The sequence below is a fragment of the Homo sapiens genome, chromosome 14 (genome assembly GCF_000001405.40).
Source record: "Homo sapiens chromosome 14, GRCh38.p14 Primary Assembly".
Classification (NCBI taxonomy): Eukaryota; Metazoa; Chordata; class Mammalia; order Primates; family Hominidae; genus Homo; species Homo sapiens.
In genome coordinates this window covers 58,997,496-59,017,660 of record NC_000014.9, presented here as the reverse complement: position 1 = coordinate 59,017,660, position 20,165 = coordinate 58,997,496, and the positions used below count along the sequence as shown (strand labels likewise).

At 39.5% G+C, this 20,165-nt stretch overlaps 1 long non-coding RNA gene across 1 annotated transcript in view; it reads right to left on the bottom strand.

Moving 5' to 3' along the window:
- Positions 1 to 332: 332 nt before the first annotated feature.
- Positions 333 to 20,165, bottom strand: part of LINC01500 (long intergenic non-protein coding RNA 1500) — a 189,041-nt gene continuing 169,208 nt past the window's right edge. Inside the window, exons 5-6 of the long non-coding RNA NR_110547.1 lie at positions 8,511 to 8,630; positions 333 to 398 (exon numbers count right to left, since the gene is read on the bottom strand). This is a non-coding gene — a long non-coding RNA (long intergenic non-protein coding RNA 1500). The remainder of the gene's footprint in view (positions 399 to 8,510; positions 8,631 to 20,165) is intronic.

The following is a 20,165-nucleotide window of genomic DNA, read 5'->3' as shown; positions in this document are numbered from 1 at the left end:
ATAAAGTGCAGAAGATTATCACCCGAACAATTTTGATATTGGGTTTTATCTTTCTGCAACAAGCAGACCATGGTCAACAGAATCTGCTTGCTGCCATTTATGATGAGACTGTGGAATTACTCAAATCTCTAGCATCTCTCATTTATTTTTAGCTTCATGTTTAGTTAGTAACAGTGGAATCTAGGTGCCAACATGTTTTTAGCAGATACTATCCAGATCTGCCAATGATTTAAACTGCTCATGAGCATGTAGAGATACAATACAGGAAAAGTAATGAAAAGGAGTTTTCAGTGAGGGAATGTTCAAGAAAGCTTCACAGGTTAGAGGTCAACTTCAACTATAAATGTCAATTTATTGTAACTTTTCTCTTCTTGCTTACAGTATTCATGCCTGAAAAACTGAAACAGGAAAGGAAATCATTTTGGATTATCTTTTCCAAGGACGAATATTTTATTTTAGCTTTTTAAATTGATAAATAAAAATTGCATGTTATGTACAACATGATGTTTTGAGATATGCTACATTTTGGTTCAACTGAGTTAATTAACATGCATTACCTGACATACTTATCATTTTTGTGATAAGAACACAAAACCTACTCTTATTAATTTTCAAAATACAATATATTATTATTAACTATAGCCACCATATGGTACAATAGCTCTCTTGAAATTATTCCTCCTATCTAACTAAAATTTTGTATCCTTTGACCAACATCTCCCAACCCATCACCCAGCACCTGATAACTAACACTCTACTGTCTACTTTTAAGTTCAAATTTGTTAGATTCCACATAAATGTGAGACCATGTGGTATTTGTCTTTCTGTGCCTGGCTTATTTCATTTAGCATAATGTCCTTTGGGTTATTACAAATGACAGTATTTTCTTCTTTTAAGGCTGAATAGTATTCTATTATGTATATATACCATATTTTTTAATCCATTCATTTATTGATGAACATTTAGGATTTCACATCTTGGTTATTGTGAATAATGTTGTAGTGAGCATGGAAGTGCACATATCTCTTCAACATATATGTCCTTAAGTGTGAAGTAAGTCTCTTGTAGGCAGTATATATTTGTTCTGATTTTTTTTTTAATCTATTCAGCCACTCTTTGTCCTTTGATTGGAGAATTTAGTCCATTTTATATTCAAGGTAATTGTTGATAGGTAAGAACTTATTATTGCCATTTTGTTAATCATTTTCTGATTGTTTTGTAGATTCTTTGTTTCTCTTTTTCTGTTTTCCATTGTGATTACCTAATTTTCTCAACTGGTATGATTTTATTCCTTTTTGTGTATCTATTGCAGGTTTTTGCTTTGTGGTTACCATGAGACTTAATATAAAACATCTTATAACAGGCTATTTTAAGCTGTTAACAACTTAACTTTGGTTACATACAAAAACTACATTAGGAGGGGCTTCAAGACGGCTAACAAGAGGCATCTGGCATTCACCTCCTCCACAAAGAAGAACCAGCATAGTGAGTAGATAGTCACACTTCAAATAAATTGTCTAAGAGAGAACACTGGAATTCAACAGAGAAGTGAGAGGACACACCTAAGGCAAGGAAGTGAGGCAGCCTGCTTGGCCAGGATCAGCTGGGAGCCTAGAGAGGTTATCCAATGCAGGGAAAAGTGAGAGTTCCCCAGGGGTCTATATGCCCACTACAGACTCCTGCAATCTTAGCCATGCGTGAGCACCTCCACCCTCTGGCATGAGACTAAACTAGGGAGATGCCCGGAGATTGCACAATGGCATTGCTCCAAAAAGGAAGGTTACACTGGGTCCCACACACCTCCTGAATCCTAAACAGCTACAGCACAGTGCCATTTTGAAGGCCAGCCCCCACCAGACTTTATTCTGCCCTGGGGCCCAACAGCTCCTGCATCTCCACAATAACGAGCATCTTTGCATTGAGCCCCATGACATCCTCTGCCTGCAGCTTCTGCCACTGCTGGCTGCTGCCACCAGGGCCAAAGTGAAAGCCACTGGCAGCAACAGCACTGCCCCCAGCAGTGGGGCTGCTATGCATTTTCACGCATCCTGACAAAAGGGTCCACCACCACTGCCGGCTGCTGTTGCCATGTGACAAAGTGCATCCCAATGAAGTGATCACACCACCTCCAACAGTGGGGCTGCTGTGCATTTATAAGCCCTCTAAGGACAAACTGCCCCACCCACAGCAACTGCCCCTGCTAGCTGCCATCACCATGGCCAAAGCATAAGCCACTGGCAGCAACACCACTTCTCCCAGCAGCAGGTGGCCATGCATTTACAAGTGCCATGAGGACAGGTTCCCTGGCTGACAGCTGTCACCTGGAGCAGAAGCCACCAACCTATGGCTTCTGCCACTGAAAGCAATTCTATACTCCCTGGCAACAGAGCTGCAACACAGTTGCTGCTGCCCCCACCCAAGCTCTCTGCTTGGAGCCTGGGGATTATCCTTCCCCTAGCCATAATAGCCAGCTTCTATATGCACCACTAGGGCACCTGAAGATAGGCCCACTCAGCCTGGCTTCACTACCACCAGTGCTCAATCACACCATCCAGGGGCCTGGAGATCAGCCTACCCCACCTATGACTATTTGCACCTGAGCACTCCTCTGGGAGCCTGAGGAGAAGCCCACCCAGCTTGCAGCTATCACCAGCTGACACCTACCCACATGCACCACTTGTGGGCCTGTGTACTGTCCCAGCCAGCCGGTCACAGACACCAATACCAGTCCAAACCTCTTGGGAGCCAAAAGGTTATCCCACCATTGCTATTGCCATTGCCCACACCACACCTGCCATCCAGGGGCCTTGGAACCTGCCCACCTGCGTGTCCTACCCCTGACACTGCTGGTACTCAAGCAAGTTGCTTGGAGGCCCAAGAATCAGCCCACTTGGACCACTAACACTGGTGCTGACATACACAACCCTGGAGCCCAAAGACAGATATAGTCAGCCCTATTGCTGCCACCACTGGAGCCCCAGGGACTGGCCCACCTGACATCCCTGTCCCTAACATAACTTCACCACAGCCTCCACTAACAATTACACCCTAAGCTACTGAGGAAACCACAGATCCCACTGATGCTGCTGACAGCCAAAGAAATTGCATGAAACACACTACTGTAAGCACCCAGAATTAAAGCCTAAGTTCCCTACTCAGCCAAATCCATAGATACATTATAAGGAAAAAGTTATCCCCTACAAAAACAAATTTAAACTATTGGAAGAAATGACTGTTACACTACCCGTACAAATATCAATATAAAAACACAAGAAACATGAAAAAGCAAGGAAATAGGACAACTCTAAAAGCAACACAATAATTCTCTAGCAAGAGATCCCAATGAAAAGGAAATTTGTGAAATTCTAGAAAAAGAATTCAAAATAATAATATCAAAGCAGCTTACTGAGATATAAGATGTCAGGTCCAGGGTCAGGTTCCAGCCTATGCTGAGGTCCAAAGGAAGTGGGTGGATGAATGGCAGACAGCTGAAAGAACACTCGGGGGGCTGCAGGTAGGTGAAATACGGCTTTATTCAGCAGCACTCTTACACTGTCTGTCTCTGTCTCAGCTGCCTGCTCCAGCCTCTCCCATGTACTACTGCATGGCCGGCTCTCCCTTCAGGGTCAGCAGCTTAACTCTTTCTCTGGGCACAAGCAAGACAAGCTGTGTCCTGGCTTTCCACTGTCCGTCTGCAAGATGAACAGCCCTGGATTTCTCTCTTTCTCTGGGCGCAAGCATGCCTGTACAGTGTCAGCAGGGCAATTATACCTTTTACAGACAATAATGGCTCTGAGCAAGCGATGAGCCTTCCCATGTTATGGGTACGTGGTTGTGATTATATAACAAGTGGAGTTATGTGATTGTGCAACAAACTCACTGACTCATGCAGGATGTTTACCTTGGCCTATCCTTGACCAAAGCACATCCATTACTTATACAAGAGAACACAGCTAAATAATACAAAGAAATCAGAAAAACAAATCAGGTTATGAATGAGAAATCTGCCAAAAAGATAGATATGATTTAAAAAAACAAAACTGAAATCCTGAAACTGAGTAATTCATTGAATGAAATAAAAATACATTAAGAGAGCTTCAGCAATATACTAAATGAAGCAGAAGAAAGAATTTCAGAACTTGAAGATAGGTCTTTTGAAATACCCAGTCAGACAAAAATTTAAAAAAAGAATAAACAAAGCCTATGTGACTTATAGGTCACCATTAAACAACCAAATAGTCAAATTTCTAGTGTCCCAGAAGGTAACAGAAAAACAAAGGGTTAGAAAACATATTTAATAGTCCAGGCTTGTAATCCCAACACTTTGGGAGGCCAAGGCGGGCAGATCACGAGGTCAGGAGATCGAGACCATCCTGGCTAACACGGTGAAACGCCATCTCTATTAAAAATACAAAAAAAATTAGCCAGGCGTGGTGGCGGGTGCCTGTAGTCCCAGCTACTTGGGAGGCTGAAGCAGGAGAATGGCGTGAACCTGGGAGGTGGAGCTTGCAGTGAGCGGAGATCACGCCACTGCACTCCAGCCTGGGTGACAGAACGAGACTCATTCCAAAAAAAAAAAAAAACCATATTTAATAAAACTAGCAGAAAAGTCCCCAAGTCTAGTTAGAAATTTGTACATTCAGATACAGGAAACTCAGAGATCCCCAAATAGATACAATTAAAAACGAATGTCTTCTCCACAGCACATTATAGACAAACTGTTAAAAGTAAAAGACAAAAACAGAATTGTAAAAACAGCATGAGAAATGCATCTAGCCACTTATAAAGGGGAACCTCCATCAGACTAATAGTGGATTTCTCAGCAGAAACTTCACAGGCCAGGAGAGAGTGGGATGATATATTCAAAGTGCTGAAAGAAATAAACTGCCAACCAAGGATGCTATACCCAGAAATATTACCCTTCATAAATGAAGGAGAAATAGTCTTTTCCAGACAAGCAAAAGCTGAGGGAATCAATCACCACTAGAATGGCCCTATAAGAAATGCCTAAGGAAGTCCTACACTTGGAAGCAAAAGGATAAATCTATCATGAAAACACACAAAAGTATAGACCCACTGGTAAAGCAAACACACAAATATGAAAGAGAAAGGACTCAATTATTACCACTACAGAAAAACTACCAAACCACAATGATAAGTAATAGCAAAGTAAGGTGACTACAGTTAACAACAATGTATGCATATTTTAAAATAACTAGAAGAGAGTGAAATGTTCCAGCACAAAGATATGATACATACTTGTGGGAAATAGATCCCCTAAATACCCTTATCAATTAAGAAAAAGAATGAGAAGAGCTGAAATTTATAGTTAGCAACTCTAGAGGAAGTTTTCTTCCTTTTTCTGTTCATAAATAGACTAAGCTCTTGAATGCCCCACTTGCATCTATTCATCATTGTGGAATGATTTCAAAAGAAAAATCATGTTATATTTTTTTCCTAACCTCAAAAAAGGTTATACTTTTACTCTATACTTTTACTCCAACCCATCTCCATCTTGTATTTTTGATTTCACAATTTATATCTTTTTATATTGTGTATCATTTACCAAAGTATTTTAGCTTTTTAAAAAAACTATTGAATTACTTTAAAATTATTTTTAATAGTTTTGGTTTTCAACCTTTATACTAAAGAAGCAAATGAATCTTACAGTATTAAAATATTCTGAATTTGATAATATACTTTTTTTTCTTTTGAGACAGAGTCTCCCTCTCTTGCCCAGGCTGGAGTGCAGTTGCACCATCTCAGCTCACTGCAACCTTCACCTCCCAGGTTCAAGTGAGTCTCCTCCCTCAGCCTCCCGAGTAACTGGGACTACAGGCGCGTGCCACCACACCTGGCTAATTTTTTGTATTTTTCTTTAGTAGAGATGGGGTTTCACCATGTTAGCCAGGATGGTCTCGATCTCCTGACCTCATGAACTGCACGCCTTGGCCTCCCAAAGTGCTGGAATTAAAGGCATGAGCCACTGCACCTGGCCCAATAACATACTTATTTTTATCAGTGAGTTTTACACTTTCACATGCTTTTGTGTTACTAATTGGTGTCCTTTTCTTTCAGCTTAAAGAACTTCTTTTAACATTTCTTATAAAGAAAGGCCTGGTTTAATGAACTCCCTTTGTTAGTCTGGGAACATCTTGATTTCTTCTTCATTTTTAAGGGACAGCTTTGTCAGGTATAGTTCTCTTGGTTGAAGGTGTCATTCTTTAGCACTTTGAACATATAATTCCTCTCTTCTGACCTGTCAATTTTTGCTGAGAAATCCACTGCTAGTCTTTTTGGAATTCCTTCATATGTTATTTGATTATTTTCCTTTGCTGCTTTCAGGCTCCTCTCTTTGTCTTTGACATTTGACTATTCGATTATAATGGGCTTATATCTTGCAATATTAATTTCTAAAAAGACAAAATTCTGTTTCCAATAGACTGTCTTTTAAGAGACAGATTTCCCTCAGTTGTGAATGGAGACCACACATACTAGACCTCAGGAATTTCTGTTGCATTGGTCAGTTCTCAGTTTTTGTGTGGTTTTGGTTTGAATTGAATCTGATGGCAGACCTTTGACCTTCCTGTATCTGGATATTTATATTTTTCTCCAGATTTGGAAAGTTTTCTGCTATTATTTCTTTAATAAGCTTCTACCTCTTTATTCTGTCTTCTCCTTTATGAGCTCCTGTAACCCAAACATTTTCTCTTTTGATGCTGTCCCATAATTTCTGTATGTTTTCTTCAATCCTTTTGATTCTTTTTCCTTGTCTTTATTTTTCAAATAACCTGTTTCAAGTTCATACTTTCTTTTGCTTTATCAGTTCTGCTGCTGATGCCCTCTATTGCGTTTTTCATTTCATTCTTTATATTTTTCGGCTCCCAAATCTGACTTTTAAAATGATTTAAATCTCCTTATTAAATTTATCATTTTGGTCATTTATTGCTTTCCTGATTTTGTTGTACTACCTATCTGTATTTTTATGAAATTCCCTGAGCTTTCTTGAAACAATTATTTTGAATTATTTGTCAGGCAGTTTTAATATTTTCATTTTGAGGTTATTGTGTTTCTTTGGTGGTGTTATATCCTTGTTTTCTTCGTGTTTCTTATTGCTTTGTGCTGTTGTCTGTGCATTTGAAGAAGAAGGCACTTTTTGCAGTCTTTTCAGACTGGCTATGTCTGAGAATGCACTTCACCAGTCAGCTCGTCCAGATATCCTCTGCAGGATGCCTGGCATGGTCTGTGGGTGAGCTTGCTACTAAAGTCCTTAAGCAGGCTGGCCCAGTGCCTGGGTCAGCAGGTGGGTGGGCTTGGTACCTGATCTGGGTCCACTGGTACAGTCTAGCAGCCTGAGGAGTTGACCTGGTGCCTCAGTCTTTGGGGGTGAGTCTGGCACTGACATCTACTGTGATGGGCCTGGAACCTGAGTCTGCTGGAGTATAAGGCTGCAGGGGCTAGGGACTAGCCTGATATTGGGCAGGCCTGGAGCTTATGTCTATAGGTTCTGGCCTCATGCCCAAGGCCAGGGGTGTTTACCTGGTACTAGGGAAAGTTCAAAGTGTGGAGTTATGTGGGACAACCTGAATCTGGGCTGGTCTGAAACCTTTGGTGGACCTGCAGCCTGGGGCTGAAGGGGCTGGCCTGTATGGAGAAATATTTTTAATAGCCAAAGGGCTTATATCTTACATTATTAATTTCTAAAAAGACAAAATTCTGTTTTCAATTGCTAAGCAATCCTCTGCTCCTAAGAGACAGTCTTCCCTCAGTATGAATGGAGGCCACACATACCAGACCTCAGAAAATTCTTAGCAATGATCAGTTCTCAGGAAATCTGGATAAGCTGAGTTTCCCAGGCTAGAGCATCCTGAGCAATTAAATCTGCATTACTGAATGTAAAAGCTTTCACTTGAGGTACCCATTCCCACCATCCCTTATGTGATCTCCTACATTTAAATCAGACCACCTAAATTGAGTAAAAATGTAACCAGCAGTCATCAACATAGTTGAAATATAAAGCCAAAACTGAATAGCCCAAGAGATATTCCCTGTTTGTATTATCTGATTCCTCATGGTGTTACATGTGCATAAATACAAGTCCTGAAGAAAGGAACAGAAGGCCAGAATGAACATCTGGAAAAATGCATGAAAAATCTGCAGTCCATTAACCTTCTAATTTCATTTCTGTTCTTTGCACCCACCCATTCTGGTTCTATGGCACTACATAGGTTTCTAGAAGACAATCATTATCTTGCTCTGCAACATTAACTCATGAAGTGAGATTGCAGGAAATTATAAAACTTGAATAAAAGGAAGCCAATCCAATATATATATTTTTTACCTGAATGAATATTTTAATGTAACTGAGAGCAAAAAAGCTCTCTTCCTCTCTCTTTTTCTTACCTCTGACCATCAAGGTAGACTTAGAAAATGCTATTGTAAGTATAGCTTACATTCCATAATTTCTTGATATCCTGGAGTATACAGAAAATGAAAAGATAATGTTTTACCTTGACAGACTGAAATGGAAAAACCTTCTGTTGATGGGATCTCGCTGGAATGTAATGATTTGTGTGATTGCAATCACAGAGCCAGCTAAAATAGCATGTGAATTCTCCAACGTCTTCCTTCTGTCAAGGAAGGAACATTTCCATGAAACCACCTTTATAGCCTAGAATGGCTGCCTGCTATCCAAAAAGAGCTCTAAGTGACAATTAAGTAACCAGTAACTTTGTCTAAATGTAGAGCAATTAGAACTATTTTCAAAGTTTTGAAAGATTGTTCTAACCTTCCCTTTCCTTTGCCAAGATTAGATGGAATCAAGAAAATAAGCAGCTTGGAGATGAATAAGACTGAAGATTTAGTGAAGTCTCCTTAGAGACACAGATGAGTCAGGACTATTTTCAAAATTAAAATACATCTGTACCTTTGGAGCAATTTTTAAATTTTTAATTATTATAATTAACTGGGGAAAATGGGATGCCATAATCACAGAATATCTCCGCTGTAAAAAAAAAAAAAAAAACAATAAAAACAACAAAAACCCAACTAACCCAAACCACCAGGTGTGGAGTTGAACTAACCCCATTTATTTGTGTGGAGTTCACCATCCTGACATATATATGCAAGGTTCATCATTTTTATTATTTTCTCTACTTTATTTCTTATTCCCACTTCCATTCTCTCTACCACATGGTTACCTTCTTCAATGTGCTTGATATGTGCCCTTTTGTATGACTAGATACTTATAAGTACATTTTGTATGTGTGTATTAACTTACATAATGGCACTGTGGTATAGACAGTGTTTTGTTTCTTACTTGTGGGACAACATTATGCCTTTCAGATTTACCCACATTGTTCTATGTGCATCAAATGTGTTGCTTCTGTGGTGCGCATCTGCCATTTTCTCTTCATGATTTCCCAGTGTAACCTCCAACTCCTCACTGTAACTAGACACATTATGATGAATATCCTTATATAGTCTTTTTATGAGTCTATAAAAAGACTATGAAAGAGTTTCCTTAGGATATGAATCCAGGAGTGAAATTCCATTGTCATATATACATTCTTAATTTTCCTGAGTACTTTAGTACCTATTCTTGCTTTTTAGGACAACCAAGCCAGTTTACTCTTTCACCAACAGTACATGAGAGTTTTTGTCTCCCCACCTTCTCATTAATATTTGATAGTACCTTTCTACTTTTTGATAATTTAATGGTCATAAAGTGGCATATTGCTTTAAAATGTTGAGATTTTGGTATATCCTTTTGCAGGAAAATTGAATAAGTTTGTGTGAGGTTAGTTGCATTATATTAGGTAAGAACATGCTGTTTCTTCAAAATTTGAGAATGGGGAAGAGAGTGTGCGTGGATGCTGTTAAGGGTGTCAAGACAGACATCGTGGATGCTCAGTGTAGTCTGTTTTGTCAGCCCTTCCAATGATTCCATGAGCTATTCATACCCTTTAATAAACCTCCTTCTGCTCAAAATAGAGGGGATTCTGTTGTTGTCAACTAAGAAGACTGGCCCGTGTGGTAATTGGTACCATAAATGGTTGAAAATCTTCAAGGAGTAAAATGGGAATCTAAGATTGCCTATTCAGATAGGTTAAGTTTGAATACAGTAAAGATCTGGTCCTTAATATAAGACAAGTCCCTGCAAGATTTTATCAGTGGGATTTTCTTTTTACATATACATTTTTAATGGATTTGATAAAAGCCTCAAAAGTACTCTTGGATTTATTATTAAAATGACATTGGATTTATAGAACGATCTTGGGATAATTTACATCGTTACAATATTAAGTTGTCCATCAATGAATACAGTATGGCTCTCTATTTAGGCTTTCTTTTATGTCCTACGATAATGTTTTTAAATTTTCTCTATAAAAGTTTTGTGGATTTGTTAAAGATTATTTCCATTTCTGGGTGCTGTTCATTCTTCTTCTAGTACAGTAACAACTTTGCTTTGATATCAAGGAAATTATGAAACATTTTAATGTTAACCATTATAACCACATTATGTAACCAGTATAAAAGAGAAAAAGAATGGCAGAAGAAAAATAATAAAGTGTTTATTTTCTATAAATATGTACCTCAGATTTCTTAAAATGCTCTTGTGGATAATGCATTTCTGCTGCATTTTCTAGTTAGTTATTGCTGGTGTAAAGAAATATCATGGGCTAAGAAAACCCGCTACACTCTCTTATTAGTTCTAACAGTTTTTTAGTTGATGAAGCTTTTTCAAATGTAAATGATCTTACGGTTTTCATTTCATTTTACTTTCTCCACTTCCAACCCTTAACCTCTTATTTATTGCCATATTTCACGGGCTGATTCCAACACTATGTTGATCAGGATTGAAAGTAGAGAAAGTCTATTTTTGTTCCCAGCCTTAAAGAGAATGCATAAAGGGAATGCACAATAATCTTAAGAAATATTCAAGACTACACAATCTGGCCTCCAATTTGCTACCCCAGCCTCCTCTCTGAGGCCTGTCCATCCCAGTACTCCAACACTTTTCTTTTTTACAACTGTCTTCCTCAGTTGTAAGTACTTGTTCTTGGAGTGTGGAACAGTGGGAGAGGCAAGGGAGGTGGCAGAGTCCAGGGCCAACTCAATTGTCTGCACTTATTTTATTCCTCCCCACTTCCCCTGGGCTCAAACACTGCCATCGTGTTACTCACACTGACCTAGGTTTCTCTTTTTGTCTCAAGATGTGACAGAGAAGGCAAGATCCATTCAGAGCCCTCCTTTTTTTAAATTAATTAATTTTATTTATTTATTTATTTGTTTGTTTGTTTATTTATTTATTTATTTATTTATTTTTGAGACAGAGTCTCGCTCTGTCACCAGGCTGGAGTACAGTGGCATGATCTCAGCTCACTGCAACCTCCGCCTCTCAGGGCCCTCCTTCTGCATTCACGCTTCCTCCATCTGTGACCCCCTGCCCTTTCCTCTCCTAGGCTATCATTTCAGCTGGAACCTGGGAACCAGCCAACTTCGGTCTCCTCAGAGACTTTTTAGTTTTTCCAGTATCTTCTTAGATGTACCATTTTCCCTCTCACTTCTATGGTGTCTTCAGGATTGGGTTTAGAATAAGGATCCAGAAATTTCATCAAGTAACATCTTAAGTTTTTGCTGTCTGTTGTCTAAAAATGAAAACGACAGAGACAAAATGTGATTGACAATTTGTCAATGCCACAAACTATATGGCCAAACTGTGAAACACTATCCATGAAATACTGCAAGAGTTGGTCTAAGACTAGAAAGGAGACTGAAAGATGGCTCATGGCTTGAGCCAAAAAGAGATTTCCTTAGTATCACAGTCCTGAAAGACATTGACATGGTTTGGCTGTGTCCCCACCCAAATCTCATCTTGAATTGTAGTTCCCATAATTCTCACGTGTTGTGGGAGGGACCTGGGGGAGATAATTGAATCATGGGAATGGACACTTTGCATACTGTTCTTGTGATAGTGAATAAGTCGCATGAGATCTGATGATTTTATAAAGGGGAGTTCCCCTACACAAGCTCTCTTGCCTGCCACCATGTAAGATGTGACTTTGCTCCTCATTTGCCTTCTACCATGATGGTGAGGTCCCCAGCCTTGTGGAACTATGAGTCAATTAAACCTCTTTTCTTTATAAATTACCCAGTCTTGGGTATGTCTTTATTAGCAGCATGAGAACAAACTAATACAGACATATTATGTTCCTTTGCTTAGAATGAGAATAGCAGAGAAGGTGATTGCAGCTGAAAAAGTAGCTGCACTGATATTCTATTTCCATACGTCTAATATATAATTATTATTCTATAAAGGCTAGAGATTATGAGATAGGGAAAGAAAAAGAGGGAGAGTGGCAATGGCATAGAAAATCTGTCGCCAGAAATTGTTGAGATGAAGTAAGAAAAAGAGGGAGGATAGCACAGTGTAGAAAATCTGTGGCCACAGATCCTCGCTCTCAAATAGCAAAAACTGAGAGGGTCATACTCTCAAGGAAAGGAAACTGCAGAATTTATGACGTGGCATTTAAAGCAAACCCAAAGCAAAGCTTCAGGCAGTTCATCATGCCCCTTGCTTGTTCCCTACACTGTTCTCTAACATGAAATTAGTACTTCTTAAAGAAAAGTACTGATATTGGACCTGTCCATAAATATTTGGATATAGGTGGAGAGGAGGAAAGGAACATAAATAGTTCATGATCTCAAAATGAGTACAAGGCCTGGCGTGGTGGCTCACACCTGTAATCCCAGCACTTTGGGAGGCCAAGATGGGCAGATCACCTGAGGTCAGGAGTTTGAGACCAGCCTGACCAACATGATGAAACCTGTTTCTACTAAAAAAAAAACAAGAAATTAGCCGGGCATGGTGGCGCATGCCTGTAATCCTGGCTACTCAGGAGGCTGAGGCAGGGGAATCGCGTGAACCTGGGAGGTGGAGGTTGCAGTGAGCTGAGATCATGCCATTGAACTCCAGACTGGCCAACAAGAGCGAAACTCCCTCTCAAACAAACAAACAACAACAACAACAAAAAGAGTACAAATAACATTCTATTCCTCACTGTCATATAATAAAAAATAAATATTTGGTCTTTGTCCCCAGTTCCTGATACATAGGTCCTAAAACCCTTCAAAACTCTAGAATGTCTTTTCTGTGCTAATGAGATGACTGGTGGTTGGGGATCCCTAGATAGCTTCAGGATGGGGACTGGTGACCAGGAATATCAAACCTTGATTAGAAGCTTGGAACCTTCAGCCCCACTCCGCAAATCCAGGGAGGAGAGAGGAGCTGGAGATTGAGTTAATCACCAATGGTTAAGGATTTAATCAATCATGCCTATGTAATGAAACCTCCATAGAATACCTAAACAACTGGATTCAGAGAGCTTCCAGATTGTTAAACACATTGAGGTGCTGGGAGAGTGGCTTGCCTAGAGAGGGCATAGAAGCTCTATCTGCCATGCCCCATTCTTTTCCCTATGCATCTATCTCTTCCATTTGTTGTTCCTGAGCTGTATCCTTTATAATAAATCAATGAATGTAAGTAAAGTGCTTTTTTGAGTTCTGTGAGCCATTCTAGCAAATTATTGAAACTGAGGAGGGGGCCATGGGAACCCCTAATTTGTAGCTGGCGCTTGTCAGAAGTACAGCTTGGAACTAGAGCTTGCATCTGTGTCTGGCAGCCTTTTGGGACTAAGCTCTTAAACATGTGGAGTTTCAGCCTAACTGTGGATAGTTAACATCAGAATTGAACTGCATTATAGGACACCCAGTTAGTGTCCAGAGAGTTTGAGAACTGATTGTTGGTGTGGCAAAACCTACACATTTGGTGTCAGAAGTGTTGTGGGTAAAAACTCTTTGGCCTCATGGAGACTGGAGATTTTTGCTGTTGGAGTCCCTCACTTTATGTGACTCCAGGCCAGCTCTCTCCTGTGGGATCCAAATCCACTCCATGGGAAATGCCTGCCTTGCCTAGCTGTTCCCCAGGCTGCTTTGTCTTTCCCAGGTATGAGCCAGCCACGAGTACAATGGGTCCCCCAACTGCAGGTCACACATCAGACTCTCAAAGTTTCAAATATAGCTCACCTCCCACCCCTCCAATCAAATCTGTTTTTGTAAGTGGAAAAGGTATCAAGTGAATATATCATTAAAAAGTTAAAATATTAAATATAAAATTTGATTTTATGTGGGCAAAATATAACCATAATTGTATGGATTCAAAAACCATAAGGAAACTTCTAGTTCTGTAAGTAAATAGGCAATTTTGATAGCATTTAGTATTCGTTTTTTTAAAATTGTGGTAAAATACACATAACATAAAATTTACCATTGTAACCATTTTTAAGTGCACAGTTCAGTAGCATTAGATACATTCACACTGTTTTGCAACCATCACCACCATCCATCTCCAGATTATTTTTCATCTTCTCAAACAGAAACTCTATGTCCATTAAACAATAAAACCCTATTTTCCCCTTTCTCCAGTCCCAGCAACTACCATTCTATTTGTATCTATGAATTTGACTATTCTGGGTATTTCATATAAATGAAAACATATACCCTTCTTGAAATCAAATAAGTCACATTTTATGGGAGTCTATAACCTCTACTTTGCACAATCAACATTGTTCTTATTCTCCAGGCTGATTAGAGATAGATTTATTTTAAACCATAACTGGTTGGACGTGACCATTAAACATTGTCGGTTTTTTTTCTGGGACAAATAAACAAGTCATTCTCAGCTTTAAATGTACTAATACTAGTATAAAATTTATTCTGGATGGAAAAACATAAACTGAAGGAGAAAGTGAGAAAGCACAGTTCGCGCAGAAAAAAGGATCACAGAAAAGAACAAACTGACAGAATTCAATAACTCTTACAGAGAGTCATGCAGCTTTTAATTCAATCAATAAGTAAGTGTACCAGCTAGCTTGAAACCACAGGGCTGAACATACCTTCTTCCTTCCAGACAAGGTATCTGGCTTTGGATCACTACATAAGCACATCCATAAGTCAGAAAAATATATATATATACAATCATGGGTTTGTTCTGATTCTTGGTTTGGAAATTTTCAAAAACTAAAATTGTTAAGAAATAGTAAGATGATATTTCTCCTTTTTTTTTTTTTTTTTTTTTTTTTTGAGATAGAGTCTCACTCTGTCACACAGGCTGGAGTGCAGTGGCGCGATCTTGGCTCACTGCAAGCTCTGCCTCCCGGGTTCACACCATTCTCCTGCCTCAGCCTCCCAAGTAGCTGGGACTACAGGCACCCGCCACCACACCTGGCTAATTTTTTTGTATTTTAATAGAGACAGGGTTTCACCATGTTAGCCAGGATGGTCTCAATCTCCTGACCTCGTGATCCGCCCGCCTCAGCCTCCCAAAGTGCTGGGATTACTGGTATGAGCCACAGCGCCCAGCCAATATTTCTCACTTTTAAAATCAATTTGCTGGCCTTTCATAATAGATAAAAACTTCACACTTAAATATTGTTCCAGGGTAGCCTCTTATAATTTAACTTTGTTTAGATATAATTTTGAAAGATGTTATTCACTAATCATCAATTGTTTAATAAGTTCCTATCATGTTTTGGGCACCATGCTGGTCACTGGAGTAGCAAGATACTACATTCAAATGGTTCATGAGGGACAGGATAGAGAGGGGCAGGTGAGGAAAAGAGAGAGGAGAAGGAAAAAATAATGTGACAAAATGTTAACAATTGAGAAATCTGGGCAAAGAGTAAACAAGATTGTTTTGTATGATTATTGCAACTTTACTCTAAGTCCAAAATTATTTTTAAGATGCCACAAAAACAATAAGACAATAGGATATAAGTGATCATAAGCAGTTATTAGAAAGTTATGTTATGAAAGAGTCTTCCCATCTTATTTTTTAAAGGAATAATCACTCATCGTGATAATGGGTATTTAGAGGAAAATGGTGTTCCATGGCCAAATAAGTTATAAAATATACACTATGCACCTCTCTTGACAGTCCACTGTACATTTTGGCATATTCATGAATCTGGGAAGTTCCACTAAGAAGCAGTTGGAAAGAAAGTAGATGGATCTGAAAAATAGTTAGAAAGAAAGCCAACTACCTTATTCTGTTTATCTGAGGATATCACAATGTAATTGACCATAAAACTCTTTTTGTGAGTGATAACTATTAAAATAGAGATTTCAGAAATGCCATTGTAAGATAGGGAACATTATCTCAATTTGTGTGCATACAAATTCATTTGGAAGAAGCAGCCTGTTTGTACTGTTGTATATGCTGGTGAATTTATACAGATAGAGTTCCAGTTGGTTCTCAGATACTTTTGTGTGCAGATGAAGACATGTGGCCTCCCTTTTAATTAGAAGCTCTTCATTCCAAAATGCAATATTTATTAAATCTCATGTTGAGATAAATATTTTTTATTTACACTATTTTCCAGGACTAATTGCTGTGTTTTTAGAAAAGCCTTCCACTAAACTCTAATGAGTAGAATTAAATGAACCACTAAGATAAAACAAATCATCAATTCAGCTACCCATCATGAATCAGTTGATCGTGAAGTACCTGATGTAAATGCAAGATCATTGGCCTTTTGCCCAAGATTGCTAGAGGCAAGATTATCCAGGTAATCAACCCTTGCTCCCCTTCAGTTTTTCATGACATTTCCCCAAAAGTAAAAGGTGAGTTCACATATGGCATCAGATTTTTCTTGACACCAATAATAAAATTCCAGTTACATTAACTGTCAATATATGTTTCTTTACAGGTAAAGGATTGCATCTAGGCTGGGCACGGTGGCTCATGCCTGTAATCCCAGCACTTTGGGAGGCTGAGGTGGGCGGATCACGAGGTCAGGAAATCGAGACCATCCTGGCTAACATGGTGAAACCCCGTCTCTACTAAAAATACAAAATAAAAAAAGTAGCCAGGCATGGTGGCAGGCGCCTGTAGTCCCAGCTACTCAGGTGGCTGAGGCAGGAGAATGGCATGAACCTGGGAGGCGGAGCTTGCAGTGAGTGGAGATCGCGCCACTGCACTCCAGCCTGGGTGACAGAGAGAGACTCTGTCTCAAAAAAAAAAAAAAAGAAAAAATTGCAACTAAATAATTTGAAAAATTCTACAAAATAGTTAAGAAAACTTTTTGTTTCATAAAAAATATGTTTAATAATAACGCTGAATAAGACATCTTATTTCTTAAGTGACTAAACACTTCTTGGATGTGAAATCAGAGAAGGCTAATTTTTAAAGTCCATAAATAATATGAATTTAAGTGTATTCAGATGTTTCTTATTAATTTCAATATTCTGCTTCCTTTTGCATGTACATTTAGGGCACAAGACCAACACCTGATCAAAAGTGGAAATGCTAATCCAGTTTTATAAAAAATATAATGAGTAGTCTCCACAATACTACATAATTGCTAGTAATTATAAAAATATTTCTTAACTAAAGTAGGATTTCTTTATAATTATACATGTCAATTCATATAACAGAATACAATGATTGTTAAAATGCAGGTATCATCTAATAATGCACCAATTCTTATTTATTTTATTAACTGCATTGTTTGAAAAGTAAATACATGAATGTAAAATATGGTATTATGAAGCAGTCAAAATCAAGAAAAAGAAACAGTACCAAATATAAAATATGATATGGCAGATAGACAAAGACTCAATATACTAAGTTTTTATTTTTAAATTGGCATATTTCTTCATAATTCTTGACTACTAAACTCAGTGTACTGGATACACTGTCCTTTAGCCATATACAATAACTATCTTGATTTCCATATTAGTCCATTCTCACACTGCTATAAAGAACTACCTGAGACTGAGCAATTTATGCAGAAAAGAGGTTTAATTGATTCACAGTTTTATAGCTGTACAGGAAGCATGGCTAGAAGCCCTCAGGAAACTTATAGCCATGGCAGAAGGGAGAAGGGGAAGCAAGCATGTCTTCACATGGCAGCAGGAAAGACAGCAAAGAGGGACATGCCACAGACTTTTAAGCCATCAGATCTCATGAAAACTCACTATCATGAGAAAAGCATGGGGTAAACATCCCCCATGATCCAATCACCTTCCACCAGGTCCCTCCCTCAACAGGTGGGGATTACAGTTCAAAATGAGATTTGGGTGGGGACACAGCCAAACCATATCATTCCACCCCTGGCTCCACCCAAACCTCATGTCCTTTTCACATTTCAAAACCAATCATGCCTTCCCAATAGTCCTCCAGAGTCTTAACTCATTCTAGCATTAACCCAAAACTCGAAGTCTAAAGTCATATCCAAGAAAAGGCAAGTCCCTTATGCCTATGAGCCTGAAAAATAAAAAACAAGGTAGTCCTTCCAAGATACAATGTGGGTACAGGCATTGAGCAAATGCTCCCATTCCAATGGAAGAAATTGGCCAAAACAAAGGGGCCTGCAGCCCCATGCAAGTCCAAAACCCAGCAGGGCAGTCATTTAATCTTGAAGCTCCAAAATAATCTCCTTTGACTCTATGTCTCACATCCAGGGCACACTGATGGAAGGGGTGGGCTTCCAAGGCCTTGGGCTGGTCTGCCCCTGTGGCTCTGCAAGGCACAAAACCTGCAACTGTTTTCATGGCCTGGCATTGAATGTTTATGGCTTTTCCAGGCACACAATGCAAGCTGTCAATAGATCTACCCTTCTGGAGTCTGGAGGATGGTGGCCCTCTTCTCACAGCTTTTATTAAGTAGTGCTCCAGTGGGTATTTTTTGCGGGGGCTCCAACCCCACATTTCCCCCTCTGCACTGCCCTAGTAGAGGTTCTCCATGAGGACCCCACCCCTGCAGCAAACTTTGCCTGGACATCCAGGTGTTTCCACACATCCTCTGAAATCTAGGCAGATGCTCCCAAACCTCAACTCTAGCCTTCTGCATACCCACAGGCCCAACACAACATGGAAACCACTAAGGCTTGGGGCTTGAACCCTCTGAAGCAATGGCCTGAGCTGTACTTTGGCCCATCTTAACAATGGCTGGAGCTTGAGTGGCCACAATGCAGACTGCCATGTCCCAAAGCTGCACAGTAGCAGGTCCCTGGGCCTGGCCCATGAAACCATTTTTCCCTCCTAGGCCCCTAGGCTTGTGATAGGAGGGGCTGCTGTGAAGGTCTTTGAAATGCCCTGGAGGCATTTCCCCCATTGTCTTGAGTATTAACATTAGGCTCCTCTTTACTGAAGCAACCTTCTACAGCTGGCTTAAATTTCTTCCCAGAAAATAGGTTTTTCTTTCCTACCCCATGGCCAGGTTGCAAATTTTCTAAACTTTCATGCTTTGCTTGCCTTTTAAATATAAGTTCCAATTTCAGAACATCTTCTTGCAAATGCATATGAGTGTATTTTGTTAGAAGCAGCCAGGTCATATCTTTAATGCTTTGCTCTTAGAAATTTCTTTTTCCAGATACCCAAAATCATCTGTCTCAAGTTCAAAGTTCCACAGATCTCTAGAGCAGAGGCACAATGCTGCCAGTCTCTCTGCAAGCATAGCAAGAGTGACCTTTACTGCAGTTCCCAATAAGTTCCTCATCTCCATCTAAGACCTCCTCAGCCTGGACTTCACTGTCCATAACACTATCACCATTTTGGTTACAATCATTCAACAAGTCTGTATAAAGTTCTCATCTTTCCATTTTCTTCTGAGCTCACCAAACTGTTACAATCTCTGCCAGTTTCAAAGTTGCTTCCATATTTTCAAGTATCTTTATAAGAATTCCCCTCTTCTCTGGTACCAGTTTTCTCTATTAGTCTATTCTAATATTGCTATAAAGAACTACCTAATGCTGGGTAGTTTATAAAGAAAATAGGTTTAATTGACTTACAGTTCAATAGGCTGTACAGGAGGCATGGCTGAAGAGGCCTCAGGAAACTTACAATCATGGTGGAAGGAAAAGGGGAAACAAGCACCTCTTCACACAGTGGCAGGAGAGAGCGAGTGTGAAGGGGAAAGTGCCACACACTTTTAAACCATCAGATTGCATGAGAACTCACTCACTATCATGAGAACAGCATGGGGGAAATCCACGCCCATGATCCAATCACCTCCCACCAGGTCCTTCCCCCAACATTGGGAATTGCAATTCAACATGAGATTTGGGTAGGGACCCAGAGCCAAGCCATATCAATTTCTTTGG